The following is a 13,201-nucleotide window of genomic DNA, read 5'->3' on the forward strand; positions in this document are numbered from 1 at the left end:
AGGAGGCTGTGGTGGGAGGATCACTTGAATACACGAATTCGAGGCTGCAGTGAGCTATGATCGTGCCACTGCACTCCAGCCTGGGCAACAGAGCAAGACCTTGCCTCAAAAAAAAAAAAAAGTAACTTTAATTGGCAATATCAAGTGTTGATGAGGATTTAAAGGTGGGAGAGTAAATTGTTACAATCATTTTGGAAAATTGTCGCCAGCTACTGAATCCAAGAACATGACTACTCTGTGGTCCAGTAATCCCATTCCCAGATACACTCCCAAGAAAAATGGGGGTATCCGTTCATCAGAGGACATGGATAAGAACCTCTACACCACCTCGATCTGTAATAGCCCCACACTGAAAACAATCCAAACATCCGTCAGCTCTAGAATGAAAAACAAACGACGACCTATTCATGTAATTGAAAACTGCACAGAAATTAGCAAGCACGAGCTGCAGCTTCCGGACAGCGAGAGCAACCCTCACTGGAGGATATGCAGATGAGGCCAGACACCGAGGGGTGAGAGTTCACGCACTGTGTGAGGCTCTGGAACAGCAGAGAGGGTCTGTGGGGATAGAGCCTCTATCATGGTTACCCCTGGAGGATGGGGCACAAGGGAACTCTTGGATGATAGGAACCTTCCACGTCCTGGTCTGAGTACTAACGCCAAGGTGGAAATGTGCAGACGTCTGTCACAATCCATCACTCACGGAAGATTTCTGCAGCTTACCATGCATCCATACATTCCACGCATTGTTCCTCTGTCGTGTTTTTTTTTTTTTTTTTTTTAAAGACAGAGTTTCGCTCTGTTGCCCAGGCTGGAGTGCAGTGGCGCGATCTCGACTTACTGCAAACTCCGTCTCCAGGCTTCAAGCGATTTTCCTGCCTCAGCCTCCCAACTAGCTGGGATTACAGGCGCCCGTCACCATGCCTGGCTAAATTTTGTATTTCTAATAGAGATGGGGTTTTGCCATGTTGGCCAGGCTGGTCTAGTACTCCTGGCCTCAGGTGATCCACCTTCCTCGGCCTCCCAAAGTGCTAGGCTTACAGGCGTGAGCCACCTCGCCCAGCACGTAGATTTTTTCTCAATGTGTAACTTTGGCAGCTAGGGTCTCCGTCAGCGTGTTGAGATGCTCGCATTAAGAGGGGCGTGAATTAGCTGGGTGCGGTAGCTCAAGCCTGTAGTCCCAGCACTTTGGGAGGCTGACAGGTGGGAAGATCACTTGAGGCCAGGAGTTCAAGACCAGCCTGGGCAACATAGTGAGACCCCTGTCCCTACAAAAAAAAATTAATTAATTAGCTGGGCATAGCGGCACAAACCTGTGGTCCCAGCTACTTGAGAGGCTGAGGATAGCTTGAACCCAGGAGTTCGAGGCTGCTGTGAGCTACGATCATGCCACTGCACTCCAGGCAGGGTGACAGTGAGACCCTGTATCTAAAAAATTAAATTAAAAAAAAAATTTTTTTTTGAAACAGAATCTCACTCTGTCACCCAGGCTGGAGTGCAGTGTTGCGATCTCAGCTCACTGCCATGTCTGCCTCCCGGGTTCAAGTGATTCTTCTGTCTCAGCCTCCTGAGTAGCGAGATTACAGGCGTCCGCCACCAATGCCCAGCTAATTTTTGTATTTTTAGTAGAGATGGGGTTTCACCATGTTGGCCAGGATGAACTCAAACTCCTAACCTCAAGTGATCTGCCTGCCTCAACCTCCCAAAGTGCTGGGATTTAAAATTATTTTTTATTATAAAAAAGAGGGGCACGAGAGAAGGGACGCAATTGTGGAAACTGCACACTTAGGTCCTCACCCTCACTAGTTGAGCGCAATGGCCTGGCCATTGGCTGGGTATCGAAGTTTCTCTCTCTCCAAAGACGCAGAGTCGAATTAGTGTGAGTGACATGTGTTTGACAGGTGTCCAGCTCATCATGTAGACAGGCCAAGCCTTCCGGCTGGGAAGTGCTAGGCGTGGGGCAGCTCTGCACCCCTGTCTCTGCTCTGCCGCTCGCAAGCTCTGTGACCTTGGGGAATTCACTCAACGTTCCTGAGCCTCCATTTCCTTCTCTGTAGAATGGGGATGACGGCAGCAGTGACATCACAGTTTCGGCGAGAATTCCAAGAGATCGTGTGTGCGCGCGTGCTAGTCATTCATCCCATGCATATTTGTTGAGCCTGACTGTGTATCAGGAAGGGTGGGTCCAGCCGTGACAAAACAGGCACAGCCCCAGGCCTTGGGTGCTTTCTAGGGGGAAGTAGACAAGAAGCCCAAGAAGTCAGCACATGCCGGGGGTGTCAGAAGGTGAGAAGTACTGGGGGTAGCAAAGCAGGGAAGGCAGGAGGAACGGGGAGATGCAGGGCACTCCTGGCACCACCCGGATTCCCCTGCTGGCCCCCTTCCACCCTGAGCACCGCCGGGGGTGACTGCCTTCATCCAAGTGGGAGTGTCTCCCAGGCCACAGCCAGTGACCAAAACAGACTGACACGGGGAGCAGGACGGAGGGGAGGGCAGAAGCCTGGCCCCCTGAGAGGAAGGACTAGGAAAGATTCTGGTGCACAGGCATTCACAGCAGCACCAGTCACAATGGCCAAAAGGTAGGAACAGCCCAAGTGCCCATCAGGAGATGACAAATAACACGAGGGGCGCCTCCATGCAGGGGATATTGTTGAGCCGTGAAGAGGAATGCCACTCCTGTGAACTCAACTTGCTCTGAAAAGTAAAGTCTATTCAAAATGAAAGTGCGGCGGGAAGGAAGGAAATTCTGACTCAGGCTCTAACGTAAATGAACTTTGAAGACACGATGCTAAGTGAAAGTAGCCAGATGCATGATTCCGGTTAAATAAAGTGCCTAGAGCAGGCGGATTCACAGAGACAGACAGTACGTTAGCGCTTACCAGGGGCTGGGGGACGGGAATGACAGTTATTGCTTAATGGGGACAGAGTCTGCTTGGAGTGATGAAAACCTTTCAGAACAGGAGAGTGGTGATGGTCAAGCAACACTGTGAATGTCCTTAATACCACTGAATTGTACCTTTAAAAATGGCTAAAGTGGTACATTTTATGTTATGTGTATTTTACCACAATTGAAAATAAAGCAAGGCTGGATGCAGTGGCTCACGCCTGTAATCCTGGCAGTTTGGGAGGCCAAAGCAGGAAGATTGCTTGAGGCCAGGAGTTAAAGACCAGCCTGGGCAACATAGTGAGACCTAGTCTCTACAAAAAATAAAAAAATTAGCCAGGCACAGTGGTACACTCCTGTAGTCCCAACTACTCAGGAGGCTGAGGCAGGAGAATCGCTTGATCCTTGGAGGTGGAGGCTGCAGTGAGCTGTGATGGTACCATTGCACTCCAGCCTGGGCAAGAGAGTGAAACCCTGTCTCAAAAATAATGCAAAAAACAAAAAACAAAACACACACACACACACACACACACACATCCTGACCCACCTGGCTACAGATGGGACAAACCCTGGTGGAGTTCACATATCAGAGCCCCCCGTGGGTCCAGGCTGAGGCCGCCCTCCCTCCCTCTCCTGTAAAAACCTCTCTCTCTGGCTCTGCTTCTGGGGCCCTGGATCTAGGTCAGGAGGGCTGTGATTTAAAACAAGGTGCCAGGGAGGCCTGGTTGTGGCGGTGAATCCTGAAAGGGAGCCATCAGCAACTTAATGAGAAATAGACGAAACCCTGTTCTCAGCCGGGCGCGGTGGCTCACACCTGTAATCCCGGCACTTTGAGAGGCCAAGGCAGGTGGATCACTTGAGATCAGGAGTTTGAGACCAGCCTGGCAGATGTGGTGAAATCCTGTCTCTATTAAAAATACAAAAATTAGCTGGGTGTAGTGGCGCGTTTCTGTAATCCCAGCTACCCAGGAGGCTGAGGCACGAGAATCACTTGAACCCGGGAGGCGGAGTTTGCAGTGAGCCAAGATCATGCTACTGCACTCCAGCCTGGGCAACAAGAGCGAGACTCCATCTCAAAAAAATAAATAAATAAAATAAAAAAAGAAAGAAAGAAATCCTGTTCCCGAGACAAAGAAAGAAAGACGGAAGAAAGAAGGAAAGAAAGAGAGAGAGAAAGAGAGAAAGAAAGAAAGGAAGGAAAGGAAAGGAAAGGAAAGGAAAGGAAAGGAAAGGAAAGGAAAGGAAAGGAAAGGAAAGGGAAAGAAAGAAAAAGAAAGAAAGAAAGAAAGAGATCCTGTTCCTGAGACAAGGGGACCGAGGTACAGAGAGGAGCTTTGCCTGGGCCACAATTGTACAGGGTGATGGCACAGGGGGCACACGGGGCACAGATTGCAACTCCTGCCTCCCTGTCCCCTTCTCTCCACATGGCAGGCTTGGGCTGGCTGCTTAGGGTTAGAGGCAGAAGCCTCTTTTGCAGGGACCTTCAGAAGTGGCAGAGGATCTGGTTTGAGAGACAACAGACAGGAACAAATGGCTGGAATATTGAGCCTCAGGACATTCCTGCTCTGTGGGCCCTGCCCTGAAGGCCTTGGCTTATTAAACCCATAGATAGCCCACGCCTAACGGGAGCTCTGACCTCACAGACTGTGGCCACCGCGGCCACCATGATCTCGCCTGCTGCTCAGCGTTTGCCTGGGAGCTACCAGGCTCATGTTGCACCCACAGGAGCTGGGAGCCCATTGCAGGGCCCGGCTGGGCGTGGCGGGAAGTCGAATTTTCTTGGTGTCTAGAGAGTGAGTAGTGAGCAGAGGTGTCTCAAGACACACAACTCCAGGTTTCATTATCTGCCCTCGATGCCGGAATAATCACTGTGTACACACAGTGTGGGATCCCAAACAGTGCTGACTGTGTCCCCTGCTCAAAGTGCTGGCTGATGACAGGGATGTTGCATTGAAATAATTATGGCTTCCGCCTGTGAAGAGGTGGGAGGAGAGGAAGAGAGAAGATCCCAGCAGGAGTCGGCAAAGAGAACAATCTGCTTTCTTGCAGAGACAAAGCAGCCACCCTTGACTAGGGGGTCTGCAGTGGCTCCAGAAAGACCCCAGCTTCTTCACCACTAGGAACAAGACTCTTGGTCAGAAGAGGCCAAGAAAGAGACATAGACCCTGTTCTACCAAGGGCTGCCGAGGGGTGGCTGGAGGCTTCGGGGTGTCCCGTAGAATAGTAGAGTGTGGACTGTAAAGGTTGCCACAATGTCTCAAATATCGGCCTCTCTAACCTACTGCTGCTGCTGTTGACAGGAGGAAGCAGGGAGAAGGGAGCACTGTGTCTTGAGCACTTCCCGTGTGCCCAGCACAGTGCTGGGGGCTTTACTGGATGTCTTTTATGGAGCTCTAGCTGTATGCTCAAACATTCCATAGTTATCTATTGAGCACCTACTATGTGCTGCTTGACAACCAACCACAGAACCTCAACGTGTACAACAATCACTATGTACCTGGCTGGTGTGTTAGCAGGGCGGCTGGCGCTGGCTGATCTAGGCTGGCTCGCCCGCCGGGCTCTGCTGACCTCACCTGGATTCACCCAGCTGCTGCAGGTCGGCTGATCTAGGTGTGGCTCAGCCCCACATATCTCTCATCCACTCTGTGGGACCAGTGGCCACTCAGCACATTCTCCTTATGGCAAAGGAGGAGGAGCAAAAAAGCAAACATAGTCAATGGAGGTCCCTAGACACGCATGCTCAGACCTGGCACACACTCGTGTCAGCTTCGTGCTTTTGGTTAAAGCCAAAGTCAAGGAGTAGAAAAACAAACTTCACCTCCACAATGGGAGGAACTGAGAGGGTGCAAACACAGGGCAGGAGGAAGGATGAGGTCAATTCTGCAATACGGAGCCCTCACGTACTGCATTCCAATGGGTGCCACTTGCCCGAAGAGGCCATTGTTTATTAGACGCCAGGTGTGGGCACTCGTTCACGCATTCTGCTAATGTGCACTGAGCACCTCCCAGCACTGCAGAACTGGCACCTGGTAAGTTACAAAACCAGATGAGTCCCGGCCCTCCTGGCTCCCACAGGGTGTGTCGGGGGAGGGACTCGAGACGTGGTGTCATGCACATGACTGTCAGCTGTGCCCAGTGGCCTGAACAGGAGTTGCTTGTGCTGTGGGTGCCTGTAACAGAGGGCCGCACCCAGTCTTGGGGGTGAGGGAGCTTCCCCAAGGACATGAGGATGACGATGGAGCTGGCATTTGAGGGACAAGTGGTAACACTCTCGTGGAGAGAAGGAAAAAGCATCCTAGGCCGAGGGCTCAGCAGGTGCGAAGGCCATGTGGTGAGAGGTTTGCTTGCAGAGGTGAAGAAGGTAGGGGGCTTAGGGGGCAGTTGTGACATAAGCAATGGACCCTGAGCACCAATCCCAGTCTTCACCGCCACTGGCCCCATGTGCACGGCGATTGGAGCTTTCCAGCTTTAAGGGCCTGCAACCATGACCAAGGCCTTAAACAGAGAAGACACGCCTCTGAAATAGAAAAGCCAATGGCAAAATCAAAATTGATAGGTGTCATGGAACACTAGGCAACCAAAAAAAGAATGAAACCATGTCCTCTGCAGGAACATGGATGGAGCTGGAGGCCATTATCCCTTGCAAACTAATGCAGGAATAGAAAACCAAATACTGCATGTTCTCACTTATAAGTGGGAGCTAAATGATGAGAACACATGGACACACAGAGGGGAACAACAGACACCGGGCCCTACCTGAAGATGGAGGACAGGAGGAGGGAGAGGAGCAGGAAAAATAACTAATGGGTACTAGGCTTAGTGCCCAGGTATTAAGTACTATGGTACTAAGTACCTTAGTATCTAGGTTGGTGCAAAAATAATTGTGGTTTTTGCACTGTTGAAATTTGCCATTTTGTATTGGAATACATTCTTAAATAAATGTGGTTTTTATATATCATTTTAATGCACGTTTCTAGCTTTTTTTTGGGTAATGACTTATTATTACTTGCTGTTTATATTTCTTTTAGACTATGGAAATGATGTTAGACAAAAAGCAAATTTGAGTGATTTTCTTACTCGAGTTCAAAATGGGTCATAAAGCAGCAGAGACAACACGCAACATCAACAACACGTTTAGCCCTGGAACTGCTAACGAACATACAGTACAGTGGTGTAATTACAATTACATCTGAGAAGTATGCTCAGCAGATCGATGAGACACATTGAAAACTGCAGCGCCTGCAGCTGGCATTGGCCAACAGAAAGGGCCCAATTCTTCTCCACGACAACGCCTGACTGCACGTCACACAACCAGCGCTTCAAAAGTTGAACTAATTGGGCTACGAAGTTTTGCCTCATCTGCCATATTCACTTGACCTCTCCCCAACCGACTACCACTTCTTCAAGCATCTCGACAACTTTTTGCAGGGAGAACGCTTCCACAACCAGCAGGATGCAGAAAGCGCTTTCCAAGAGTTCATCGAATCCCAAAGCACAGATTTTTACACTATAGGAATAAATGAACATTTCTTCTTGGCAAAAATGACTTGATTGTAATCGTTCTTATTTTGATTAATAAAGATGTATCTGAGCCTAGTTATAATGATTTAAAATTCATGGTCCAAAACCGCAATTACTTTTGCACCAGCCTGCAACCTGTACAACAAACCCCCATGACACAAGTCTACCTACGTAACAAACCTGCGCATGCGCCCCTGAACTTAAAATAAAAGTTAAAAAAAAAAAAAGACTAGAGAGGAGCCTATATTTCCACTGAAAGGAAGGAGAGGTTGGGGAATAGGAATAATTCTGCACAGGAACAAGAAAGCGAATGCAAGGAAATTTTCAGACCAGTCTCTTTGCCCGAGTCTTTAAAAGTTTTTGTTAGGGGTCATGAAGTTTGAAATGTGTCTTAAGGAGGGATGGATTACTTGGAATAAATTGCCTCTATGAGACAGTGTGATATGATGTGACATGAGGGACTGTGGAGTCACGTGGGGTGGGGGTGGGAGGAGGATGAGGATTAAAATCTACACACGGAGTACAGTGTACACAACTAGGGAGACGGGAGCACTAAAAGCTCAGACTTCACCACTGTACAATTCATCCATGTAATCAAAATCCACATGTACCCCAAAAGCTCCTGAAATTAAAAAGCAAATTCACAGGTGTCAACTTAGACAGCGACAGAACCTGACATTTTGTTGACAAGTTGACTGCAACGTAGAGCATCTCCTGGAGGATCTGCTTTTACGGCGTAGCGATGGCAGGGCTTCTGCTTCTGGAAGGTGGAGCAGGTGCATTCACGCCCTTCTCTGTCTTCCTCCAACAACATAAACTAAAAGCTGTAAGCATGGCAGATGCTTGATCCGCCCCTCCTCCCATGTGAGATGCTGCCTCGAGAGCTGCACAAAGACCCCTCTGTGAAGCCCCTTAGCGATCCCACAAGGAAAATAGCACGACCATCCTGTTCTACAGATGGGGCAACTTGAGGCTCAGAGAGGCCAGGCGACTTGCCCAGTGTCACACACAGTCTGCCATTGGTTGTAGAGTCAGGATGTGAACCCGAGTTTGTCTCACTCAGAGCCCGCACTCTGAGCTGCCTGCCTCTGCTTCTCGGATTCCAGCCTTGGTTTTGTGTGAGTCCCGGGCACACTGTAGGTGCTGAACTCATTGCTGAATGCACACATCCAGCAGATGTTTAGTGAGCGCCTACTGTGTGCCAGGCAGTGTTCTAGGCACTGTGGATACAGCAGGGAGCAAGACAGACAGCAACCTTGCCCCCATGATGCTGGTATTTAAGTAGCAGAAGAAAACATGCAATAAATATTGATACACACGCACTATGCTAGACACTGGTAAGTGCTAAGGTCAGAAAATGACGCGGGGGCAGTGGGGACGGGATGCAAGGGGGTGCAATATTAAGTGGAGTGGCAGGGAAGGCCTCGCTGAGAAAGGAGTCATTGCACCTGAAACAGGGAAGGTTACGAGCAATGGGGCATCTAGGGGAGAAGGAACAGGCAACACAGAGGTCTGGAGGCCGGACCACGCCTGTAGCAACTTTGAGGAACTGCAAGGAAGCCAGCATGGCTGATGCTAAGTGCGCAAAGAGGTCAGTGGTGGGAGATGAGGACACAGAGGACAGATGCTCCAGGAGGGCCAGAGTGTGTGCGGCTTTGAGGCCACAGAAGGACTTGGTGTTTACTCTGGGGGAAGTGGGAGCCACGGCAGGCGTTTGAGCAGAGAAGCAGCCTCCTCTGACTTGGGATTTAACAGGTTCCCTCTGGCTGCCGTGTGAGGAATAGCCTCAGTGGGGTTAGGGTGGCAGCTGGGAGACCAGGGACCTGGACTACTGCACCTGTCCAGGCGAGCAATGATGGCAGCTGGAACCTGGTTGGGGTGGGGAGAGGTGGAGGTGGTGAGAAGTCCGCAGATTCTGGATGTATTTGGAAGAGAAAAACAGCAGGATTTGCTGATGAGTCAGACACGGGCAGGAGAGAAAAAAAGCAGTCGGATGACTCTGAGGTGTTTAGTCCAGCAACAGGGAGATGAGGTTACCATTCCCAGAGAAGCAGGCAGTGGAGGAGCAGGCCTGAGGTCGATGTTAAACATGATGGTAAGTTCGAGATGCCCGTGAGCCATCTGCAACCCAAGCAGGTTTTTCTCTAAGGACACAGCAGCAGAAAATATAACACACTGTCTGGCTTGAGCTTCTGAAAATCCTCACTCCTCAGGTTTGTTCTCCTCCAGGGATAAAACCAGCCAACCAGATCTTTCGCTGCCATCTCTCCTGAGCATGGCGAGCCTCCAACTGGGTTGGCTTCAATCCTCGGGGAAGCTGGCGCCATAAATCACTCGGCGATGATCCCAGGGGCCTCTGAGGACATCTCCCGGTATGAGGCTCAGACAATAGAAGGGGATTTGGATGAGCTCACCCAGCGGCAGGCACATTAGATTTGCCATAAATTATTACAAGGTTAACAGGAAATCACACAGTGATCTCAGCTGAGCTGTGGAAGGAACAAGGGGAGGGTGCTGGGGGCCCTTACAGCGCCACATACTCAAAGCCATCACCCTGCTCTGCAGTCAGGGTGGTGTGTGTGTCCCAGAACAGATCATCAAACAGTCCTAGCATGAATGAGAAATGGGAAGGTTTTCTTGAGGACATCAGATGTCCTTGCTTAGCAGCTTAAAAGCTGTGTGTCCTTGAGCAAGTTACCTAACCTCTCTGGGCCTCGATTTTCTCATCTGAAAAATGTGGATAATACTTGTTCCTAACACAGCTGGTGAGGATAGCGATTTGCTCCAATTTCCCCCAAACATTTGCTCACTTTCCTCTTCTCTTTCCCAGCACACAAAGAATCGCATGTTCTCCAGCCCTTGAATTGAGGTGCAGTCACGTGTCTTGGTGCAGTGCGTGAAACCCGGATGGAACAGATATGTTTTAAGAGCCAGTGCGCAATTCACCATGATTCACTTCATTCACTTCCCTTCCTACAACTATTGCAGTTTGCCAAGAGTAGAGCGATCTGTGCCACCCATGAGGGACAACACATAAACTGTGATTATTGTTTGTTAAGCTGGAATTTGGGGGGTCATTTGTTAATGCAGCAAGACCTAATCTCTCCTGACTGAGGCCAGATTAAATGAGTTAATACATCTAAAATCCTTGGAGTACTGTCTGGCACATGGCAGCCACCACAGACTGTTAGCTTTTATTATTGTTTAAACAATCATAAAGACAAAATCAGCAAACCTGGACATGGAGTAGCAGATAGACTCCAGGGAGGCCCCAGTGGCCTCTGCCTCCTGGTGTTCATGCCCTTATTAATCTCCTCCCCTTGATTGTGGACTAGACCCACATGAGGCTTTCTTCTTGCAAAGGTGATGGAATGTCACTTGCAGGACCTACAATCATAGTGTCTGTCTTGCTAGGAGGCTCTCTCCCTTGCTGGCTCTGATGAAGTGAGTGGGTATGTGGGAAGAACCACATAACAGAGAACTGGGGGTGGCCGCCAGCCAATGACCAGCTAAGAATAGAGGGGGCAGCCTCTGGCCCAAAGCCAGCAAGAATCTGAGCCCTACAGCCCCACAGCGAGGGTAACCAACTCATTCCAGCCTGCCTGGGCTTTTTCAGCTTTAGCACTGGAGAGTCCCACATCCCTGGAAATTCCCTCCTGGTCTATCCAGGACTATCCTAGTTTTAGGGTTGAAAGGTTGGCATCCCTGGAGCCCCTCAGTCCTGAGCAAACTGGAATGGTCGGTGTATTCGATGGCTAGGACTGCCGTGACAAGTGCCACAGACTAGGCGGCTTACCGAACAGACGTTTATTTGCTCACAGTTCTAGAGGCTGGAAGCCCTGGATCAAGGCGTGGGCAGTGTTCTTTTCTTCTGAAGTCTCTCTCCTCGGCTTGCCGATGGCCATCTTCTCTCTGTGTCTTTACGTGGTCTTTCCTGTGTATGTCCTAATCTTATTTGATAGAATAGTCATAGCAGATTTGGGCCCACCCTAATAACTTTGTTTTAACTTAATTACTTCTTCAAAGACCTATTCCTAAATACAGTCACATTCTGAGGTACTGGGGCATAGGACTTCAACAAAGGAATTTTGGAGGGGGCACAGTTCGGCCCATAAGAACTGGTTCCCCTAATTGACAGCAACAAGAACCTGAATTCTGCTAGCAACCATGTGAGCTTGAAGCAGATCCTCCCTGGTCAAGCCTTCAGATGAGACCCAGTCCAGCTAACACTTTAATGGCAGCCTTGCAGAGGAACCAGCTAAGCCATGTGAGGCTCCTGACCCACAGAAACTGCTACATAATAAATGGGTATCCCAGCTACTCGGGAGACTGAGGCAGGAGAATCGCTTGAACCAGGGAGTTGGTGGTTGCAGTGAGCCAAGATCACGCCACTGCACTCCAGCCTGGTGACAGAGCAAGACTCCATCTCAATAAATAAATAAATAAATAAATAAATAAAACTGGGTATCATTTTAAGCTGCTAACTTTGTGACGTTTTGTTACATAGCAATGGGTAATGAATGCCTTGAGTCATATCTGTGCACTTGCCCAACCTTGCCCATAGCTTTCTGCTGATCCCTGGCACAGAACCTTCTGTTTCCATAGTCACATGATGGTCTTCTGGGAGAACTGGAAGGACCAATATTACTCTGTAGATTCCTCTTCTGTTTCACCCAATAACTCACTCTTCTGGGTTCTTCACTCTTCCCTCATGTGGTATAACTTTGTTTTTGTCAAAATACTTTTATACACTTTACGAATCAATCCATTTCTTGTTGGGTTCTGACAATGTCCCCAGTACGACTGGGTCTTTAAAGTGTTGAGTTTTTATCTTCTTTCCAGCCACACAGGATAACCATTCCCTCCTAACTGCAAATAGCAAGGATGAGGGTTACAGAGGTGATGTCGTCAAGTGTATTTGACTCCAGGCTCTGAGAACCTGCAGTCATCTTCCCTAATCCAGGATGCCCAGCAGCATACTCACTGATGCATACAGATGCTCTATGAAAAAGATTCCATGAAAAACTGCATGTTCACACCTCTGCTTGTAAATGCACAATGCACATTGATGTATTAAAGGCACTGATAAGACCTGCGGGGGGGGGGGGGCAAGGGATACCACTTCAATCCTTTTTGAGGAACACTGTTCTTTTTTTTTTTTTTTTTTTTGAGATGGACTCTCACTCTGTCACCCAGGCTGGAGTGCAGTGGCGTGATCTTGGCTCACTGCAACCTCCGCCTCCCAGGTTCAAGCCAGTCTCACGCCTCAGCCTTCTGAGTAGCTGGGACTACAGGCACATGTCACCATGCCTGGCTAATTTTTGTATTTTTAGTAGAAACGGGGTTTCATCATGTTGGCCAGGCTGGTCTCAAACTCTTGGCCTCAAGTGATCCACCTGCCTCGGCCTTCCCAAAATGCTGGGACTATAGGCATGAGCTACCACACCTGGCCAAGGAACACTGTTCTGACCCACTCCATGACACTGGAGGGTAAGTAGAGTTATCCCCATTTTCCAGATGAGGACATTGAAGCACAAGAGTTCTACTGCCTCACCCAAGGTCACCTTGCTGACAGAATCAGCCTAAGATTCAGACCCAGGCTGGAGGACACCAAAGCCTGGACCATTCGCTGTCCCACCTGACTCCTGAAAACCAAGCGAGGAATTGAATGAGTCTTTGGTGGATCTTAAGGGGCTGGTTAATGACAAGAAGTTGCAGGAACCAGGGCAGGGGCAGACATGAAGTTCAAGTTGATGCTTTTCTGCTAAAAATGCCTCCTGGGTGAAATTCCAACCT

The 13,201-nt window shown here is 49.3% G+C and overlaps 2 annotated features.

The window, feature by feature from the left end:
* Positions 1,749-2,394: an enhancer, noted in NCBI's record as "H3K27ac-H3K4me1 hESC enhancer chr12:125197387-125198032 (GRCh37/hg19 assembly coordinates)". NCBI's record gives its function as "activates a minimal SCP1, AML or CMV promoter by ChIP-STARR-seq in naive H9 embryonic stem cells {active_cell/tissue: H9 hESC(naive)}" and the evidence as "EXISTENCE:reporter gene assay evidence [ECO:0000049][PMID:30033119]".
* Positions 2,395-3,039: an enhancer, noted in NCBI's record as "H3K27ac-H3K4me1 hESC enhancer chr12:125198033-125198677 (GRCh37/hg19 assembly coordinates)". NCBI's record gives its function as "activates a minimal SCP1, AML or CMV promoter by ChIP-STARR-seq in naive H9 embryonic stem cells {active_cell/tissue: H9 hESC(naive)}" and the evidence as "EXISTENCE:reporter gene assay evidence [ECO:0000049][PMID:30033119]".

This window comes from Homo sapiens, chromosome 12, assembly GCF_000001405.40.
Source record: "Homo sapiens chromosome 12, GRCh38.p14 Primary Assembly".
NCBI classification, from domain to species: domain Eukaryota; kingdom Metazoa; phylum Chordata; class Mammalia; order Primates; family Hominidae; genus Homo; species Homo sapiens.